The 22402-nt window shown below is 38.6% G+C and overlaps 1 protein-coding gene across 13 annotated transcripts in view, besides 1 other annotated feature; it reads right to left on the minus strand.

Annotated features, from left to right (window-relative positions):
* TMCC1 (transmembrane and coiled-coil domain family 1) overlaps nt 1–22402 on the minus strand; it is a 245920-nt gene that overhangs the window by 132041 nt on the left and 91477 nt on the right. Inside the window, exon 1 of one of the 13 annotated variants that reach the window (NM_001349273.2) lies at nt 14492–14780. The exons of the other annotated variants lie outside the window; for them this stretch is intronic. Coding sequence (NP_001336202.1) covers nt 14492–14530 — 39 coding nt within the window. The 5' untranslated portion in view covers nt 14531–14780. Of the gene's footprint in view, nt 1–14491; nt 14781–22402 lie in introns of those variants that run through there. 13 annotated transcript variants of the gene reach the window in all.
* Nucleotides 14471–15670: an enhancer, noted in NCBI's record as "CDK7 strongly-dependent group 2 enhancer chr3:129513146-129514345 (GRCh37/hg19 assembly coordinates)". NCBI's record gives its function as "activates an origin of replication core promoter dependent on BRD2, BRD4, P300/CBP, MED14 and CDK7 cofactors, with strong dependence on CDK7, by STARR-seq in HCT116 cells {active_cell/tissue: HCT116}" and the evidence as "EXISTENCE:reporter gene assay evidence [ECO:0000049][PMID:35650434]".

The following is a 22402-nucleotide window of genomic DNA, read 5'->3' on the forward strand; positions in this document are numbered from 1 at the left end:
TCACTACTGCTATACTCTTCAATCTTGAGTTATCAATTACTTCATCTTCCTAGGCAGCAGTACAAGAGACAGATAACACCACTTTGTCACTTTAATCCTTAGCTGCCATGCCAGCAGAGTTTATTCAATCATATTTCTGATATTGAAAAAGCTTTCATTTGACTTTACTGCCTCATCCCATTACAAGCCATTCTGATCCCCTTTTTTCACTGTTAAACTTCTCAAAGAAGCTGCCCATACTAACTCCATTTCCCCATCTTTTTACCTTATCACCCTGTCATCTAACGTCCATCCTACTAAACTAAAATTATATTTCTCAAATTTTACTACTTTACCAACATAATGAGAAAAGCAGTAAACTGAAGGGGTCTGCAGGAAATTTAGGTTCAAGCCCTCAATTTGATAATTACAAGATTTGTATATTTAAGCATACCATTTCACATCTTTGCACATCACTTTCCTTATTTGTAAAGTGAACAGGTTAGATGATGATCTCCAGGGTCTCTTCCTCTACTGAACCTATAGTTGTATAACCAAATTCATCTTCATCTCTAATTTCTCTTTGGCATTTGACACTAAGCACCACCTCCACCCCTCCACCCCTCTATTTTTCCACTATTTCCACCCATCCGTTTTTCCACTATTACCTCTAAGTTAATATCACCATTACCTAACTCTAAATTCTCTACTTCCAAATACAAAATCTTTTTACTTAGCCATTCTACCTTCATCAAAAAACATAATATACCCAAACTTGAATTTACACCCAATCCAACAAATCACTCCTCAGCTTGCCCCAAATCTCCTATTTCCTTAGATTCCTCAATACCCAGAGTCTTGGCTTAAAATGAAAACCCTGAGTCTTCCTTCATGTCCTTCCTACATCTTATTTTCATTAAATTCTATTAATCCTTCCTTCTAAATAACTAGTATCTTCCTCTTTTAAATTTCATCATTCATGGATCATTTACTCTAAAAGCCTACTACCTGTTCTCTCAAACCTAATCCCTTCACTTTCCATAACATTCAGTATTCTCTTGCATTGTCCAGTATGATAGCCACTAACTACAGGTTGCTAGTTAAATTAAAATAAAAATTAAGCAAAATTAAAAATTTAGTTCCTCTACCACATAAGCTGCATTTCAAGTCACATGAGGCTAGTGACTATAACACTGGCCATCACAGATACAGATACAGTTTCATCCTCACAGAAAGTTCTATTGGATGGCTCTGTAATCTTAGGCAAAACCTCTTACCACACTATTTACACCATGGGTTTTCTTCTATTAAAGAACACGGGCTGGTTTTCTAACACTTATCTAAACCAGTCTAAAATCTTTCTCCTGGCATCCAAACTCTCCAGATTTGGCCCCATCAAACACCTCCATTCATTTTCTTTGCCGACAAATACTCTGTTGGTCAAGTTGTTTTCACTGATCATGTAGGGTACTATGCTTTCATTACCACATTAATTCACTCAATAAATGAACTATGTGGAGACATTTCTAGGTTCTAGGAATACTGCAGAGAATAAAGCAAATAGTACTGGACATTCTTTTTTTCCTCTTCTAGCACTGGCTCTCTGCCTATCTACCTTTCAAACCTCATCTCCTTCAAGCTTTCTTAGGTTACCTTCCCCCTCTTTCAGCTCTCAGAACGGTTGTATATAGCCTACATTTAGACACAATTAAATACAACTTAGTTTTATCTTCTTTCATGCTTTGTCTTCCCAACTAGAATTTAAGCTACTTAAGGAAGCTAGCAAAGAACAGCAAGGGGGCCAGTGTGGCTAGAATAAAATGAGTAAAGAGAAAATAGAATATGATGTCAAAGAGTTAATGGAGAGCAGACTATGTGGGGCCCTAAATACCATGTAAGAGTGAGTGAGAAAGGAAGGCACTGGAGGGTTTTGATCACGGGAATAACGTCATTTGGATTAAGTTTTATTAGTATCACTTTGGCTAATAAAATGTGTTAAGCAAGAACGGATGCTGGGAGACTAGCTAGGAGGTTAATACAATAAAACAGAAGAAAAAAGATGGTAGCAGAGATGAGTAGTTAATACCCAAATTTTAGGTATATTTAAAAAGTGGAGCCAAGATAATTTGCTGATATACTGGGAATAAGAAAGAGGCATCGCAGATAACTCAAAGATCTCGGAGTTGAAGGATCAAGGTGCCATTAACTGAGATGGGGAAGACCAAGAGAACCAGGGAGGAGAAATGATACCAAAAGCTTAGTTTTGGATACTTTGAGTTTGAAATGTCTGTCAGACATTCTAACTGAGATGTCAAACAGGCAGCTGAGTTCTGTAGGTCCAGAGTACAAGGGAATGATCACGGCTGGAAATATACATTTGAGAATTTTCACATATAGGTGGTATTTAACACCAACAGACTGGATAAAATCACCAAGAAAGCCGTAAATTGAACTGAGCCTAGGCCACAGCAATATTAATTCAAAGGACAGGATGATAATGAGGAACCAGGAAAGGAGACTGAGATTGAGTGACTAGTGATAGTGAGGTGTATAGTATCCTGGAAGGCAAGTGAATAAAGTGTTTCACTGAGGAGGGAAAGATCAAGATGTAAAAGGTTGCTGAAAACTAAGATGAGAACTAAGAATTGAAAACTGGATTCTGAAATACTGAACACCTTGGCAAAAGTATATTTGGGAGAGTAGTATGGGTGAAATGACCAACAACAGAACCAAAGTGATATTAATATATATTTTACGGTCTTCAAAGCTATAGAATTAGAATGGTACTAACGGATAGAACAATCTTTCTCAATGCTTACTCCTTTTTTGACTCTTACAGGGAACTACTTTTACTGGAGTAGAAGGGGTTGGAGGAAAGAGAGAGGGGCATCTCCTGGGAATGTGTGCCATCATCTTTTCTATGACTTTTCAGGTGGTTGCTGAGTACCATTTGATTACCGTATGAACTGCGGTGTGTTATTTCCTTTTTTGTTTTATTTGGAGATAGACACAGAAAATATTTGGAAGCTAATAGAATCTTCCATTTATCAGCAAAAGTACTATTTCTGACAACTTTAATGGCAGAAGATGAAATATTGTTTAAACACTCAGCGAATTTAGAAACCAGAATGGAGACTTTCATATAGACTGCATCCCTTAAGAAAAGCTATTTTACAGTAGCCTTTTGACTTAATTTGAGTAACAGGCAACGTGATTCCTGAAGTCACAAAATATAAATTCAAAACTTTACAAAGCCAAACAGATATATGTTTTTATTGTTACTATAACAGTTAGTTGGGTTAGGTATGTCAGACCCAGGGACAGCTCAAGTATTGTGTCACTACTCTCTTCAGATGAATGACATATGATTCCTTTTACTCTCTTTAGCTAGATTCAGAAAGGTATCAGATCCTTATTAGTCTCTATATATCTAAATATCTAAATGTACTTGCTCATTGAATAGAAACGGGAAATCTCATTAGGGTATTTCTAAATACTGATGTTTATGCAGGAGTCTAAATGATAAAAATCCATAGAGATACAATTTCCTAAATCTCAAGGTCAAGGAAACATGTAGTTAGAACACAGAAAACTTTCCAATAGTCAGTACAGCTCTAGCATTTATTTTATGATCATTTTTTTTCCCACATGATATACCCCTTATTAAATGTGGTAGATTATCACCTCCTGACAAAGACTTTCATCAATAAAGTAGGGAGATCTATTTTCCAACAAGCACCAAAATAGAAAAAAAAAAGGACTGAAAGTTGCCTTCAGGGCCTGTTTTAAGTATTTGATAGTTGCAAAATGTGGTCTGGAATATTACTTTATACTTAGGAATTTTAAATACCATTCCAAGCATATTCACATCCATTGTTTCATTTGCTTCTATGAGGTAGGAGGGTAAATAATCATTATGCCATTGTAAAATTCAGGAACTGAAGCACAGAGAAATTAAATGGTCTGTCTAAAATTAGAATAGAAGAACTCCTCTACCTTGAAATCTTTTCGTCACACCAAAAAGATGAAGTTAGAAATGTGGATACCTATTATTCAAGAAGTAGGCTGATAATTTATTGCCATTTCTGATATTCAGACTTGTCTGATAGCTCGGAAAGAATATTGGCAGAGACTACAATATTTGCATATCTTTCTGAAGATTCAACAAATATTTGGTATCTTCAATGTGTCAAGCCTTATCAAACATGGTATCACTCTGCAGTAGAATGAAAACTGGATTAGACGTAGCCTGGGGTGAAGACGGCAGTGGTAGTATGGGAAGGGATGGGAAAAAGAAGACAAGAAGACAAGCAAAGTTTTGATTATTCCTTATACTCAAATTCATTCATGAAACTTTTTTTTTTAGCAGCTACCAAGTACCAGACATTATTCTATGTTCCTGGATATAGAAGTGAATTAAAACAGAAAAAAGTCCTTGTCATAAGGTTTATATCGGGGTAAGTTACAGGCAAAAAAAAAGTAATAGGCTGGGCATGGTGGCTCGCGCCTGTAATCCCAGCACTTTGGGAGGCCAAGGCGGGCGGATCACGAGGTCAGGAAATCGAGACCACAGTGAAACCCCGTCTCTACTAAAAATACAAAAAATTAGCCCGGTGCAGTGGCGGGCGCCTGTAGTTCCAGCTACTTGGGAGGCTGTGGCAGGAGAATGGCTTGAACCTGGGAGACGGAGCTTGCAGTGAGCCAAGATCGCGCCACTGCACTCCAGCCTGGGTGACAGAGCGAGACTCCGTCTCAAAAAAAAAAAAATTATAAAAATATATAGTATGTAAGATAATGATAAATACATGGTGGGGGGTGGGGAGAAGAGTGTGTGGAGGGAGTGGTTTCGCTATTTCATAATAAAAAAGGACAGTCAGCTAGACACGGTGGTTCGCACTTGTAATCCCAGCACTTTGGGAGGATGAGGTAGGAACTTGAGGCCATGAGTTTGAGACCATCCTGGGCAACATAGTGAGATCCTATCTCTACAGAAAATTTCAAAATTAGCCAGGCATGGTGGTGCATGCCTGTAGTCCCAGCTACTTGAGAGGCTGAGGGAGATCACCTGAACCTTTAGTAATCCCCTTCAGCCCAGGAGTTTGAGGCTGCAGTAAGCTCTGATCACACCACTGCACTCCAGCCTGGGTGACAGAGCGAGACCCTCATCTCTTTTAAAAAAAACAAAACAGTCAGTGTAAGCCTCCAGAAAAGGTGACATTTCAGCTGAGACCTCAAGAAAGTGGGAAAGTAATCCAATACAAATATTTGGAGGAAAAGTTTTCCAGGTAGAGGAGAGAACAAGTTGATAACTGTATTTAGATAACACCCAACCATTGGGGCTTCAAGATGAACAAGGATGTTCATGCAAAGGACGTGCAGCAGAGCTGTGGTATGTCTGAAATACAGCAAGAAATTGGATGTAGCTAGAGTAGTGTCAGTGAAAAACAGTAATAAACAAAGTGAATGTTCATCTTTATACCTAACTCATGACCCCCAATTACCATGTTCCAAGTTTTCTCCAAGTTAGAATATACATAGAATTTACATTGTATGCTTTAAAATTTCTTGAAGTCCCAAAGGTTGGGTGTTATCTAAATACAGTGATCAATAGCATTTCATAAGGCTCAAACTCAAGTAATCATTCACCACTAGATACTGAATAGACTGGGTCAGATTCCAATGGTGCCCAAAGAGAATGTGTTAATTGAGATCAGCCTTTATGTCTAGTTTCCTAAGTCTCAATATACATACACACACACACACACACACACACAAACACACACACACACATACACACACACAGAAGGAGTAGTTACACTCAGGTGTTGTTTATACCATGTAGATCTATGATCTTCAAATAATTAGAAGACAGTGAAAGAATGTCAGACAAGTTTATTAAGGCTTTCCAGCTACAGTTCCATATATTAATTGATAATATTAGGCAACTTACATATATTACTTAGAAGAGAGTTTCCTAGATTTACCCCTCTATTCCCTCCACAGAAGTTAAGACATTTAGTTTAGCAACCCCATTACCTTAAATATCCCAGAGAAAATGTAAATTTACTCTTAGAAGATTAGATTTTGAAAGGACGTTCATGTTAGAACTTACCCTCACCCCCTTTTTTTTTTTTTTTTTTTAAGACAGAGTCTTGCTTTGTCACCCAGGATGGAGTATAGTGGCGCGATGTTGGCTCACTGCAATCTTCGCCTTCTAGGTTCAAGTGATTCTCGTGCCACAACCACCTGAACAGCTGGGATTACATTACAGGTGTGTGCCACCATGCCTGGCTAATTTTTGTATTTTTAGTAGAGATGGGGTTTTGCCACGTTGGCCAGGCTGGTCTCGAATTCCTGGCCTCAAGTGATTCACCTGCCTCGGCCTCCCAAAGTGCTGGGATTACAAGTGTGAGCTGCCGTACCCAGCCATGTCAGAACTCCTTAAAAGGAACAGATACTAAACATGGCATGCCTTTCCCTCTCAACAAAATATTATCTAGTGATGTTGCTCCCTTCCTGCAATATTTTCCTCCTGTCCTTCATCTATTATCAGTGATTTGCATACGAAGGAATTCCTCCAGGAGTATGCACCAGACTGGTGAGGGGCTTTTCAAAACCCCTACCAAATGATCTCTACTTTGAGCCTAAGTCATATTCTTGAGATATGCTGGGGGTGACAGGGGAAGGAGTCTTGGGAACCACTGATCCAAATCCTCTAGGTCCAGCTAAAATCCTATTTCCTCTGTGGGACTTTTCAAGTCTACCTCAGGTTCAAAGGAAGAGCTCCTTCCCTCTTCTAAATATATATTTATTCACCATTAATTTCACAAAAATTAAAAGCTCACGTTAGCATTTTAACTGTCTTATCTCCCCAGTTATGATGAACTTTCCCATAAGAGTCATAGCAGCATGCTTTGTCTAAGAAAAGGTACTCGAGTTCCAATATATCATAAAATGAAGAGAAATCTGTTTTGTATGAGGTAAATTTCCATTTCAAGGAATGTCTGTTTTCACAAAATTTTGTATTTTCTCCTAATAGTATGAGGTAGAAGAAATCTACATCTTCTCAAGTGAGCTTATGATTAACTCGATGAGTTTTCTTGCTATTCTCAAATCGGAATTATCCAGACCTGGCTAGAAACTAAAGTCTAAGCCCATTCATTAAAGTCTTGAATTTATTTACTTTTGCCAAGAACAGCTATATAAAATTAGATTCCTCCTGGTATAAAATTGGGTGTTTTCTTAGATATTTGCTATCAAAAGTCATTTTTCTTGGAAATATACTCTGGCAGCACATAAGAAATCACCATATGTTTTATATCACAAAGGGATATTAGATAATTCTTTTCACATAAGGAGAAACCTTCAGAGAGGTGAAATGACTTACCAAAGTCACATAGCCATGATTTACTTAATTTCAATGACAAAAACCTTTGGAATAAATTTTATTAAGTGAAAAGGAAAGCTATGAAATTTTTTTTATTATACATGCTACCTTTGGGTTTAAGATGGATTCTTCTCACACTAAATTTCCAGTAAATAAGGGAAACGTGATCTGTTTCTTACAACCTATATGATGGAACAGACTGAAATTTAAGAGAGATTTCCTGTGCTACCACAAGGGAAGTTGCATGTCCATTGTTTTCTTCTTATTAAACATATTTTTCAGTAGGATTTTGTTACAATTCCTTGTATATAATGAATGCAGAGGTTAAGCCCTAACCTCAGGGTGTCCAAGAGAACAAATTCTTCTTTTCATAGTCTAATGTAAGCCAAAATGATAAAAAAAAGAATATTTCACATTATTATTACAAGCAATTTGGCATAATGAGTAAAATGTGTTCCTGCCTTTATCAATGATTCCCAAAATATGCTTTCAGAATAGTATGCTTAATTTATCCAAAAAGAGATGCATTTAAACAAGTTTTTAAAGTGTTAATGATTCTATACTACAAACTTATGTGTTACTTACAAAGTTTATCTTCAACCTGTGATTAACACAGATGGTTGGGAGAAAGTTCCAACCCAGGAGATTATTTTTCAGCTACTAAACTTTAAGAAAACTATTGGCAATGGTTTTCATTGAAGAATAACAAGTCTAAAATTTACTTTCACATTATGAACTTGTAACACATTTGAACTAGGGCTACTATTTAAGGAAGTGAATGTACCTGGTAAAGAGTTTTAAAAAGCAAGTCTCCCTCCTATCCACCTATGTCTCCAACTCCTCCTCACAAAGGCAGTCACTGTTACCTATATATACACAAAAGGAAGGGGAAGAGTATATGTGCATATATTCTAAAGTAATTTTAAAGAACAGTCACATCTCTTTTTAAAATAATACTCAAATCAAACCAACAGATAGCTGTGTACTTAAAAAATAAAAAACTAGCACACTTCCAAGGACATGCTATCTTCTCTGGGTAGCATATTTTGCTCTCTCAGGTCTACATGGTCAACAATTTATTACTGTTGTTATTTTTTAAATTTAAATGGCATCAATATCATGAAAGCATTTCAGAATTATACATATTTCTAAATTAGTTTCTCTATTTTTAGCCTATTATTTCCTATAGGGAGGTCATTCTCTATTCCTTATCCATTCCCACTACATCAACAATACATGACATTGATCTTACTGGGGTCTTATTTTTTATTTTTTATTTTTTTAGACAGAGTGTTGCTCTGTCGCCCAGAGTGGAGTGCAGTGGCAGGATGTCTGCTCACTGCAAGCTCTGCCTCCCGGGTTGACGCCATTCTCCTGCCTCAGCCTCCCCAGTAGCTGGGACTACAGGCGCCCGCCACCACGCCCGGCTAATTTTTTTTTTTTGTATTTTTAGTAGAGACGGGGTTTCACCGTGTTAGCCAGGATGGTCTCGATCTCCTGACCTCGTGATCCGCCCGTCTTGGCCTTCCAAAGTGCTGGGATTACAGGCGTGAGCCACCACACCTGGCCTTACTGGGGTCTTATTTCATGTAACAGAAGAACATCATCAATCTTCCTATTCTGGTTTTGTAAAATACCAAAATGTTTGATCTCCTATAATGTTGGATATTTGAGTATTCAAGTTCTAGAAAGCAGATAGACATATGCATAGTAGCAATTAGAATGTTACCTGATTTAAGCCTCCTAGAAGTGGGTTAATGATTAACAAGAAGATATTACATTTAACTGTTAGTAAAATAGAAATGCAAAACATTACATTTCCAAGTATGAAGTTTGTCAATGTCTAGAGTAACTTAGAGAAAATTAATTACATAAAAGCATAAGAAGGAAAGGTATGTCCTTCCATTATTTGAAAACGTGCATCCAGTACTGACTCTACCTATGCATTCAGGACTGTTAATTACATATAATATTATACTACTTCACTGTACCCACCTAGTGCTTATCATTAAGAGGGTTCAACATGCCTTTTAAAAACTGTAGTAAAATATACATAAAATTTACCATTTTAGTCATCAAAATACTTTTAAACAACCCTAATTAACCTACTCAAGATGGAAATAAGAGATCTCTATTTACTTTTAAAAAGATATCACAGAAAGATTAAGTCAGTCATGTATCATAGGCCATAAACCCAAAAGAAATCAGGTAGAAATTCAAAGGAAACTACTTCTGAAAAAAACAACAGGTTTTATTAAAAATTCAAATTCTGACCAACATTTCTCCACTTCTTTTTTTTTGAGACGGAGTCTCGCTCTGTCGCCCAGGCTAGAGTGCAGTGGCGCGATCTCGGCTCACTGCAAGCTCCGCCTCCTGGGTTCACGCCATTCTCCTGCCTCAGCCTCCCAAGTAGCTTGGACTACAGGCGCCTGCAACCATGCCCGGCTAATTTTTTGTATTTTTAGTAGAGACGGGGTTTCACCGTGTTAGCCAGGATGGTCTCGATCTCCTGACCTCATGATCTACCCACCTCGGCCTCCCAAAGTGCTGGGATTACAGGCGTGAGCCACCGTGCCCGGCTCTCCACTTCTTAATTTTCTTTTATTGATAACAAACTGATACCAAGTGACAGGACACTATGAGATGTGGAAATGGCAAGGGTAGCATTTTTAGACTAAAATATTTCCAACTGCTTTATAAGTCTGGATTAAATAATTTCAATAAAATCAACAGAACTAGGAAAAGATGCCACAAACTTATTTCTCAGCCATTAATCTCTTCACAGGCCAACCCAAGACATATTGGTAGGATTTTTACCTTCATGTTTTTTCACCATATGAAAAATGTAAAGACAGCAAAAGAAAGCTCTCAAATAGAACAGGAAGAAAATAAGGTATGATTGAAAAAGAATCATCACTGATTTACTGTTATTTCAATGATTTTTAATATAGAAAGTGGCTGCTGTGAGGCTACCTCTACCCTAAAGTAAGTCTCACATGAAAACGTGAAAATAAATGTGAACTCCAAACTGAGCTAACTATTCAAAGATCCATATCTGGAAAATTAAAGTTTGAGTTACTATCTTAGAACAATCTGTATGGCATTTATCTTTCATGTTAGAATGGTCAGAAAATAAATGTTCATATTTGTTTACGTATGTACAAACAGTGGGATAAATAAGAAACTGGTTACCTACAGAGATAGGGGTATGAACTACACGAAATGACACAGCCAGAAGCTGAGATTTCAGTTATGTAATTTAAAATTTTGAACTGTGAAAATAATTACCATTCAAAAGTAAAATAAAAGGGTATAATATTTTACTGAGATAATATTTACAATTTTTCTCAAAGTTCCCCTACCCTTTATCATACTTTAGAAAAAACTGATTTTCTGCTACCCATAAAAGATTTTGGGAAATAGTTTCCTCTGATCAGAGTGCAGGCCAGAGTAATTTAAGAAGGACTTTCTAAAGAATGTCTAACTCACTGTATTTCATCCTTAAACATTATTATAGAAACTCAAGAGTAAATTTTTCTCCTTAATAGAAGTTCTTTAAAAGACAGTGCAATTTAAAGTTTCACAACTGCATGTAGGTAAGTTTCAACTTACATCTAATTATTCCATGTTTAATATGGCTTTATTAAATCAATGATCTTATTCAAATCAATACCTCTCTGGCCAACGAAAACAAATTTAATTATGGGAAATATTTTATCAAGTTTGACTGCTAAGTTCAAACTCTATTGGACACATACTTCAGCTCTATAGGAAAGGGCTGCTCTAAGGAAGTTACCCAAGTTACACAAGTTTATTTATTGTTTTCTATCGTAGATAAACATAGAAAAACATCAGAGATCATGATAGAGAGAATGATTGACACTCCATAATTTTTTTTTTTTTTTTTTTTTTTGAGACGGAGTCTCCCTCTGTCGCCCAGGCTGGAGTGCAGTGGTGCAATCTTGGCTCACTGCAAGCTCCGCCTCCCAGGTTCATGCCATTCTCCTGCCTCAGCCTCCTGAGTAGGTGGGACTACAGGCACCCGCCACCACGTCCGGCTAATTTTTTGTATTTTTAGTAGAGATGGGGTTTCACCATGTTAGCCAGGATGGTCTCGATCTCCTGACTTCGTGATCTACCCACCTTGGCCTCCCAAAGTGCTGGGATTACAGATATGAGTCACCGCACCCGGCCAGACACACCAGAAATTTAGGGAGGCAGTTGGTATGGGGAAACAGAATGGGTTTGCTTGTTAGACCTACGTTTGACTCGGCTTCCTATTGATCTTGTCCAAATGACTTAACTTCTCTGAAACTCAGTTTCTTTTAATGATAAAAAACAAGCTGATACTATCTAACTCAAGAATTAAATGAAATATCCACATTGACAGGTTCTAGACTATTTTGGATGGCTCACGCAGGAGACATGGGGCAGGAAGAAAAAGGTTTCCTTAATAAGTATTTTTGAAGTCACATGTAAGATAACTATAAAGGAAGAAAATGATCTAAAATGGCAAGGAAAATTGAGAACTTTTCTGTGAATCACATAACTGAGATCCAGTCAAAGAGAACAGGTGAGCATCTTTCTTAAAATGGAATGTTTTTTACTTCACCTAAATCTTAATTTACTTCCTTTTTTAACTCAGATGTGAACATCTACCAGCCTACAACAATCACTTGAATATTTTAAGGAAAATATCCAGTGTAAGTAAGCATGACTATCAACCTTAACATAAAAAGCATCTAAAGTGGGTATTAGGCTTAAAATTACTGCAAACGTTTATATCTTCTTTCAGAAAATTTCCAAGAGAAATTAAAGAAATTTAAAGATGGTCACATCAGTACTTTCTTTTTGTTAAAACAGGAAATTGTTTTTAAAACTCAGATCTTAAGACAACTCTACTCCTGTGGAAAATTACTTATTAGCAAAAATGCTTGTTACTGAAGTCGGAAACATCTGAAATTGCTGTTCAACTGTATATATATATATACATATATATATATACACATATATATATCTATGAAAAAACGATTTCATTTTGAGTGTTCAATATGTGCCAGAAATACCATAAACTGGGGTATGGCAGGTCCCTGGCTCTCAGGTAACCTATGGATTTAGCTGAAAAGACAAATAGAGGCACGATGCATTTGCTGATATATTTTTTTTTAAGACGGAGTCTCGCTCTGTCACCCAGGCTGGAGTGCAGTGGCATGATCTCAGCTCACTGCAGCCTCTGCCTCCTGGGTTCAAGCGATTCTCCTGCGTCGTCAGCCTCCCAAGTAGCTGGGACCACAGGCACGCACCACCATGCCCGGTTTATTTTTATATTTTTAGTAGAGATGAGGTTTCACTATGTTGGCCACGCTGATCCATTTGCTGAGTTTGTTTTTTAAACTCACTAACATAACTATTCGGTTTCTCCTTCATATTTAAGTGCCTTACAGACTGAAATAATTAAAAATATTTTTTCAGTTCATTACTCTGATAGAACAGTAAATCTGATAGACAACAAATTTCCTTAGCTTTGGTCTAGATCATCCATTATAGGATCCATAAATCACATTCAAATGAGCAATAAGGGTACCAGGAAAAGGAATGAAAAAAGGCTACATCTTTGAGTGTTTTTATGTAATGTACCTAAAGAGAGGATGCATCCCATTCCTTCAAAAGTGTACTTTTTGTAAATCAGTCATATACATAGTATAGAGTGAAGAGGGTAAAGTTTAAAAAATAATTGGGAGAGAAGTACTGGCAGCAAAATACCCATAATATAGTTACCTTCTAATTAGAAAATTATCACCTGGCTCTCAACTATCAGACACTCTTGTGCAGGAACGTCACTGCCCTGATATCTACCCATCTGCTTTTTAAATGTACTATATATATGAAAATACAAGCACTGGAGGACATTGAAAGAGCAACAAAAATGATTCTTTTTATTGTGTAAGAGAAATGTGGAGGCCTTCAAACACACACACACACACACACACACCATGGAGCAGGGGGGAAGGGAGCAAGTTAAATATATTTTAATACTCCTAAAAATCCCGTTAGGCTTAGAAGTCCCAAGAAAAACTATGCATATGTGACACAGGGATGGAAGCAAGCACTTTGCTCATTTCTGCATCAGTGCACACACTCTACACTGGGGTCACCTGTGAGGGAACTAAAGGTTTTCCCTTAAGATCACAATACATTTCAGGATCTAACAATTCTGATTAACAGCCAAGGCAGTGAAGAATGCCTACAGACTTACTATTTGTTTAAGCTTCTGTATTCAGGGAATGAACTGTGACACAACTGAGCCACCAACTGCTACATTTTTTAAATGGAGCTTTTAAAGAACACAATGGGTTTTGAAATAAAGCTCAACTCTTACCACACCTCTTTCCATATTAGTTTCTGCACTAAATGACTGGGTCAAGGAGGGCTGGCTACAGGCAGAGTGGATTTCATAAATCACCATCCCCTCTTAAATGCGTGCTTCACCTTTTTACTATTTTAAGTATGATTTTCTCAGGTTAAAAAAACTTTTCCCCAAAAGCTGCACACATGGAACCTGCTTTTCATCAGAACTCTGTAAAAACTGCTTTGTGAGCCTCTCTGTAACTGCTTTTCATATACTTCATTAAGTATTCAAGTTTCTCAACACAACCACTCATTTTAACATTTTAATGCCAGTCTTGCTCATTAAACTATTTTGTGGTAGTTTTTCTCAGTTTAATAGTGAAATGTATGAAAGCACTGATTCCACAGAGAAGAAGGCTTTCTCCTCTTGGTCCACAAGCTGACAGATTAATTGCTTATTAAATATACACTTTCAACCCACAATTATCTCTTTCACACACACCCTTCTGGAAATTCTATCTCAGGAGCAAACTACAACTTTGCCCAAATTCAGATGACAGCTGCAGTTTTAGGGGAACACAATCTGGGGCTGCCAGTGCAGTCAGCCTTCAAGCTTTGTGCCTGTCAGATAAAAGAACAAAAGGCAGTGCTTCCTCCCTCAGCCCCTCCTTAGCGCTGGAGGACGGCAGGCTTGACAGAACAGTTCCAGAGAAAAAGGAACCATGCTGAAGCAAGTGAGAGTTTCCCCTCCACAAACATAGAAAACTACCAACCCACCTTGGATAGCTGCCTCCTGAGGCTAAAGCGCTGAACCATGATCACCCAGAGGATCTTCAGACAAAGCAATCCACGAAGGGTTTTTTAAATAACAGCTTCTTGGGAAAGTCGGTGGCAGAACATTTTGAAGACTGCCAGAGAAGTGCAAAGAATTTCCCTGGGAGTCTTAGCAAACTTGGAAAGCCTTCATTGTTCTATCAAGAGATACTGGAAAACCTACGTGGGAGAGGGCAGGGTGGGTGGGGCAGTAATCCTGAAGCCGCTGTGCCCAGTGCCAAGCTCTTCTAGCACTTCCTGTGAGTCAGCTGTGAGGGGTCCAAACACAAGGACCACCCCTTCCCTTTCCACCAGACCAGTAGGCGAGGATGCCGCTGTGGTGCTACCTGAAACTCCAGAGGACAGACCTGATGTTCCGGTCTCTGTGGGAGGAGGAGTGGTGTGCTGGGGTCAGACAGCATCTGCTCCAAGTAGGAGACAGGCAACTGCACCAATTCCTCCCCTCTTCAGCCGTCCCAGCAGCAGAGAGTGTCCACTGCAGACAGCAACGCACCCTTCTCTACCTCCACCTTAGGTAATCCTTTAAGGTGAGGCAGTGTGAAAAAAAAGGAGGTGGTGAAAAGCAAGCCCCTGGCTGTACCAGCTCCCTGCTCAAGAAGGAAACTCCTCCCAGCTGGGCTCGGCAGCTGTGCGGCTTTGTCTAGCATAATTGGCCAAGCCTTTCCTCTTATTCACAGGGAGGGGTCCTGCCTCAGGAAGGAATGTCAGGTGCAGAGAGGCATACTCCGACGGTGACTTCAACTTGTGCCAAAGTTAAACACATTAAAGTGGCCTCCTGAGGTAATTGCCCTCTCTTGTTGGAATGAAGTAATTTTTTAAAATCTACACACAAAACAAAAGGAACAGCTCAGAGTGAATCAATGCAGGTAAAGAGGTATGAAAAATAACTGTAAGAGCAGTTCCAAAGATAAAAATATTCCTATCTTTGCCACTCTTCCTCTGTTTGGGTCTGCTTCCAGACAACCACTGTGAGGATAACGTTTCATTTAATGAAACTTTCCAGTCTATGTGCTCCTCTTGGAATTGTTCATTACTTCTGAATGAATTTAGTACTGTTTAGGGCAGAACTCATTCGTATATTTTTTTTCCCTGTTCCAGTGTCTCTCAATTTCCTGTGAGCAAAGTTATGTCATATGCTACATTTAAAGCCTTTGTTGGAATGAACCTACTATGTGCAGTCACTATGTTAGGCAGTTCACATTTATTATCCTATTGATTTATCAAAACAACCTTATAAAATTTGTATTACAATAGTCCTCCCTTACCTACAGTTTGTTCCCACAGTCAACTGCAATCCAAAAATATTTAAATGGAAAATTCCAGAAACAAACCATTCAGAAGTTGTAAACTGCATGCCGTTCTGAGTAGCATGATAAAACCTCATGCCATCCTACCTGGGATGTGAATCATCCCTTTGTCCAGCCTATCCAGCCCTGGCTCCCACCCGCTAGTCACTGAGTAAGCGATTTGGTCATCAGATCGACTGTTGCAGTATGGTAATGTTGTATTCAAATAACCCTTATTTTACTTAATAATGGTCACAAAGCACAAGAGGAGTGGTGCTGGCCTACTGTTATAATTGTTCTATTTTATTGTTACTGTTAACATCTTACTATGCCTAATTTCTGAATTAAACTTTATCACAGATATGTGTATAGGAAAAAACACAGTACAGTCGTAACCCACATGACATTTCAGTTAACAACTAGCCACATATATGACAGTGGTCCCATAAGATTATAATACTGTATTTTTATTGTACCTTTTCTATGTTTAGCTATGTTTAGATACACTAATACATACCACTGTATTAAAACTGCCTACAGTATTTAGTACAGTAACATGCTATATAGGTTTGTAGCCTAGGAGCAACAGGCTATACCATATAGCCGAGGTGTGTAGTAGGTTATGCTATCTAGGTTTATGTAAGGACACTCTACGATGTTCTCACAATGATGAAATCACCTAACAATGCATTTCTCAGAAGTTATCCCAGTGTTAAATGACACGTGACTGTATATATAGGGTTCAGTACTATCTTCAGTTTCAGGCATCCACTGGGGGTCATGGAACATATCTCCTGTGGATAAGGGAAGACTACTGTAGTATCCCAACTCTTCAAATAAGTAGTAATTTCTCGCTCTAAAACCTCAATATGGCCAGGTTCAGTGGCTCATACCTGTAATCCCAATGCTTTGGGAGGCTAAGACAGGAGGATCACTTGACACCAGGAGTTCAAGACCAGCCTAGGCAACAAAGCTAGACCCTGTCTCTACAAAAAATAAGAATAAGAAAATTAGCTAGGTTTGGTAGCATGTGCTACCTAACTACTACTCAGGAGTCCTAACTACTTGGGAGACTGAGGTGGCAGGATTGCCTGAGTTCAGGAATTTGACGCTGCAGTGAGGCATGATGCTCCAGTCTGCGCAACAGAGTGAGACCTTATCTCTAAAAATAAAAACTAAATAAAACATCAATATTATTGTGAGAAAATCATGTAGTGTTTGTAACTTTTTTCTTCAGGTAAGAAACACAAAAAAATGAATTTGAAAAGACAGGTTTCTATGCAATGATTATTCTCAACTATGCTCGTATCATATACTACCAGTATCCAATTATCACCAAATAGGATCTAAAATTTTACCTAAAAAATAACACACATAGGCCAGGCGCGGTGGCTCACGCCTGTAATCCCAGCACTTTGGGAGGCTGAGGCAGGTGGATCACGAGGTCAGGAGATCGAGACCATCCTGGCTAACACGGTGTAAACCCCATCTCTACTAAAAATACAAAAAATTAGCTGGGTGTGCTGGCAGGCACCTGTAGTCCCAGCTACTCAGGAGGCTGAGGCAGGAGAATGGCATGAATCCGGGAAGCGGAGCTTGCAGTGAGCCGAGATCACGCCACTGCACTCCAGCCTGGGCGACAGAGCGACACTCCATCTCAAACAAAAAAAAAAAACACGTATTTCATAATATCTCGGGAAGAGCAGAGAAGATGCATCAAATTCAAACAAATAATAGGCTGCCAAGTCTCCAAAAAAAAATTACCTAACCAAAATGTATATATAAAACGTTTAGGCTGGGCATGTGTGCTTATGCCTGTGATCCCTGCACTTTGGGAGGCCAAGGCAGGCAGATTGCTTGAGCTCAGAAATTCGAGAGTAGCCTGGGCAACACGGTGAAACACCATCTCTACAAAAAACACACAAAAAATTAGCTGGGCATGGTGGCATGAGTAGGTGGTCCCAGCTACTCAGGAGGCTGGAGTGGGAGGATCACTCGAGTATGGGAGGTGGGAGCTGCAGTGAGCCAAGATCATGCCACTGCACTCCAGCCTGGGCGACAGAGAGACCCTGTCTCAAAACAAAACAAACAAACAAATCTTTTACTCTTAAAAACTTTAAGCAGAAAGAAGGTTGAACATATCTAAGTGTATTTTTTGTAAACTTCCAAAGCTAAAAAGCTTTTAGATGAACACCTATAACCAAAAGTAAAGACTCCTTCATACCAAGGTTCAGAGAACACAATATAACCTAACATTTAAGCTGTTTAAAATTTAATTCCAAGTGGAAAGTAGGTTGACAGAGCACCCGAGTTGTGTGCCTTTTTTTTTTTTTTCTTTTTTTTTTTGAGACGAAGTCTCGCTCTTGTCCCCCAGGCTGGAGTGCAATGGCATGGTCTCAGCTCATTGCAACCTCTGCCTCCCAGGTTCAAGCAATTCTCCTGCCTCAGCCTCCCAAGTAGCTGGGATTACAGGCGCCTGCCACCATGCCCGGCTAATTTTTGTATTTTTAGTAGACATGGGGTTTCACCATGTTGGTCAGGCTGGTCTCGAACTCCTGACCTCAGGTGATCCGCCCGCTCAGCCTCCCAAAGTGCTGGGATCACAGGCATGAGCCACCATGCCCAGCCGCCTTTCTGGTTTTTGAGTGGTAAGAGTACCAGTACCTCCATTTTTCTCGCAGAGATAGTGAAACAGTATTCTGAAATTATCTCCTAGGAATGTAAGAAGGATTCATGAAATACTGATGCGGAAATAATGAAGTGCCTTACAGAAAGACACACTGTCTTAAACACACAGTGTTTCTGATTGATATAAGCAACTAGAATCCTAAATCATTGCTAAAAGATTCTTCCTATCCAAAAAAAAAAAAAAAAAAAAAAGGAAAGGAGACAGGGGTGTGAAACAAGTGGTAAGTGAAACTTAATTTCCCTCACTAACAAGGCAACCTGCTTTCAGCCTAAAGAAGTGCTCAGAATGTTTTCTACTAATGAAATGGAAACATAAATAGTAACAAAATTCAGTAATTTCTCCATTCTAAATTGCACAGACTTGTTAACTATTTTCCTACAAACTGCCCAAATGGGAATAGCTCATTAACAAATAACAAAGTAATAGTCTCTTTCAGAAATTATTATTCTTTTAGTTACTGTCTACATTTAAAGCAAGGAGTGAAGAAATCTATTTTCAAAATGTTTAGTCAACAATGCTGCCAGTTTTAGGGTTTTCTGTGGCATTTTAGGCCCCTTAAATGAGATTCTTTTGGCAATCCCACAATAAATAACAATACAGATAGCATATTTTATTATATAAGAACAGATTAAGTAATTTATGTAGTTATTTACAAAAGCCCATGCAACTGCCAATATAAATAACCATGAAAGTAGAGGAATTTGTTAAGTAGTAAGAAGTTAAAAGATGTTGGTGATCAAAAATTTGAGTACCATATACAATACCTTAACTTGTGAGGGTTGATTTAAAGGGCAGCTGACCTTGCCAAATAAGGTCTTTATTTGGATGACTTGGACACGGCTCTTTGAAACATGCTAAATTAAGCCTGATTCCTTCTATATTAGCAATGTTTTGGGCTCCACATTTCTTTCTCCTAAAAAAACTTGTATCATGCGTTACCTGCAGTAAATGCATGAAAGGAAGAAAGGACGGTAAGAAGGGAGGAGCAGAAAGTAGTTTCAAGAGGCTATTTGGCCCAGTTCCTTGTATCCAACTAACTCAAGGTTGTTGCCTATTCTGTAATGGTATTTTTCAGAGATGGCATTTCCATATGCTCCTCTATCCTCTCTTAGCAAGGTTATGATCGAGATGTTAATTTTCCTAACATGTCCTTACTTTAAAAACATTTTCTGGGGCCGGGCACGGTGGCTCACGCTTGTAGTCCCAGCGCTTTGGGAGGCCGAGGCGGGTGGATCACGAGATCAGGAGATCGAGACCATCCTGGCTAAAACGGTGAAACCTCATCTCTACTAAAAATACAAAAAAAATTGGCTGGGCGTGGTGGTGGGCACCTGTGGTCCCAGCTGCTCGGGAGGCTGAGGCAAGAGAATGGCATGAACCCGGGAGGCGGAGCTTGCAGTGAGCCGAGATCATGCCACTGCACTCCAGCCTGGGCGACAGAGCGAGACTCTGTCTCAGAAACATTTTCTATTAGATTCCCTTTGAAGATGTCTTGAAATATCATACCTATACACAAATTTATTTTGTGTATATGTGTATGTATGCACATAAACACATTCACTGTTATATATATATACACACACTCACAGCCATAAACATATAAAGATATAAAACATCTATGTCCATATCAAGATATAGAATATTTGCTGCCCCAGAAGGTTCCTAATGTCTTCACTGCTGTTTCCCCAATAGGTAACTGTAACTGACTTCTATCATAAATTAACTTTGCTTGTTCTTGTATTTCATATAAAGGAATCTTGTGTGTGGTTTCTTTTGCTCATCATATCTTTGCAATCCATCCATGCAGTTGTGTGTAACAGTTCTTTATTATTACTTTATAGTATATGCCAGTGTATGAATAATGCCACAATTTATCCATTCTACTTTTGAATCTATGCTGTATCTATTTTTTCTCTATTATAAATCTGCTATAAAATTATCAGATTGTTTTGGAGCTCATATAGCATATTTTTCTTGGGTATATGTAGCCTAAAAATGGAAATCCTAAAGGACAGAGTAAGATTTACATTTTAGCAGGTATTATTAAACGGTTTTCCCTGTGGTTGTACTAATTTACACTCTTACAATAATGTATGGAAGTTCCAGTTGCTCTACATCCTTGCCAACTCTTGATTTTTTTTTTTTAATTGGATCCATTCTGGTAGAGGTGTCATGGCATCTCATTGTGGTCTTGTATATCTTCCTAGGAAGTTACTTAGAACTTTAATTTTTAATCTTTAGACAAAGCTATTTTTAAAATCTCTTTAAGTTCCTTCTGTCGCTTTTCTCATTTTCTATATATCCATCCATCTGAGTATTCATATAACACTACTCTCCTTGACAATTTAACATTATTCTCCAAGTAGTCATATTTTGCTATTTAACCTTTCAGCATGGCTCTCTAAATATACAACCATTCATTCCATTACTATTTATTATGTGCCTACTAAACATCAGACATGATTATTTTTCACTATGTTGCAAAGAACACGTAGCAAATTATATAAATGAAATAGTTACAAGGTATTTCATGTGCTGATACGTTTTCCCTCTCTGCACATCTCACACTATTTTTTTTTTTTTTTTTTTTGAGATGGAATCTCGCTTGCCCAGGCTGGAATGCAGTGGCGCGATCTTGGCTCACTGCAAGCTCCGCCTCCCAGGTTCACGCCATTCTCCTGCCTCAGCCTCCGGAGCAGCAGGGACAACAGGCGCCCGCCACCACGCCCAGCTGATTTTTTGTATTTTTAGTAGAGACAGGGTTTTACCATGTTAGCCAGGATGGTCTCAATCTCCTGACCTTTTGATCTGCCTGCCTCGGCCTCCCAAAGTGCTTGCTAGGATTACAGGCGTGAGCCACCATGGCCAGCCTAGTTTGGTTTTTTTAATCCAACCAGTATCATACTACCCATATTATCTATGACCTCCTTTTTTTTTTAAATTCAACAATTTACTCAGAAATTTGTCAGTACATATATCCTACATTATTTTAACTGCCACACAGTACTCTACAGTATAAACAGAACAATTTACTTAGCCATTCTCTTGATGACCATTTAGGTTACTTTCACATTTCTGCCAATACACGCCTGTTTTTGTTTTGTTTGTTTGTTTTTGTTTTCCCGAGACGGAGTCTTGTCCTGTCACCCAGGCTGGAATGCAGTGGCACGATCTCGGGTCACTGCACCCTCTGCCCCCCAGGTTAAAGCAATTCTCCTGCTTCAGCCTCCTGAGTAGCTGGGATTACAGGCACACAACACACCTGCCTAATTTTTGTATTTTGTTGGCCAGGCTGGCCTCAAACTCCTGACTTTGTGACCCACCCACCTCGGCCTCCAAAAGTTGCTGGGATTTCAGGCGTGAACCACCGCGCCCGGCCCATGCCTGTTTTTGCATTTGTGAGTTGTTCTCTAGGGTAGATGCTAACATATGATCCTACACTCAAGATTCGGCCTAAATTCATTTTCTATAGAAGTAAGATCAGTCCACTTCATGTCATTTCTACTTTTTAACTCACAACAGTTTCTGGACAATTGATCATGTACAGTGACAGTTCTTGTACATTTATATGTTCTATATGGCTCCTGTACCAAATAGTGTTATTTAGTGTTTCCGGCATCAGAGCTTTCAAGTTAAAAATTAGCACTTTGAAGGATTGCATCTTATACTTTATGTATCTCAACTGTACACTACCTTACATAGAGCAGACATTTAATAAATATTTGTGAATGCCAGGAAAACCTTAAGACACTATATAGTCTTGTCTTGGGATTAATATGTAACTATTCTATTACCTTATTTCTACACTCCAACATAAGATTGCATAAACTGTAAAGTTGGGTTATCAATGCTTTGAATTTTTCTGTTTGTAGACATGGG

This window comes from Homo sapiens, chromosome 3 (genome assembly GCF_000001405.40).
Source record: "Homo sapiens chromosome 3, GRCh38.p14 Primary Assembly".
Classification (NCBI taxonomy): domain Eukaryota; kingdom Metazoa; phylum Chordata; class Mammalia; order Primates; family Hominidae; genus Homo; species Homo sapiens.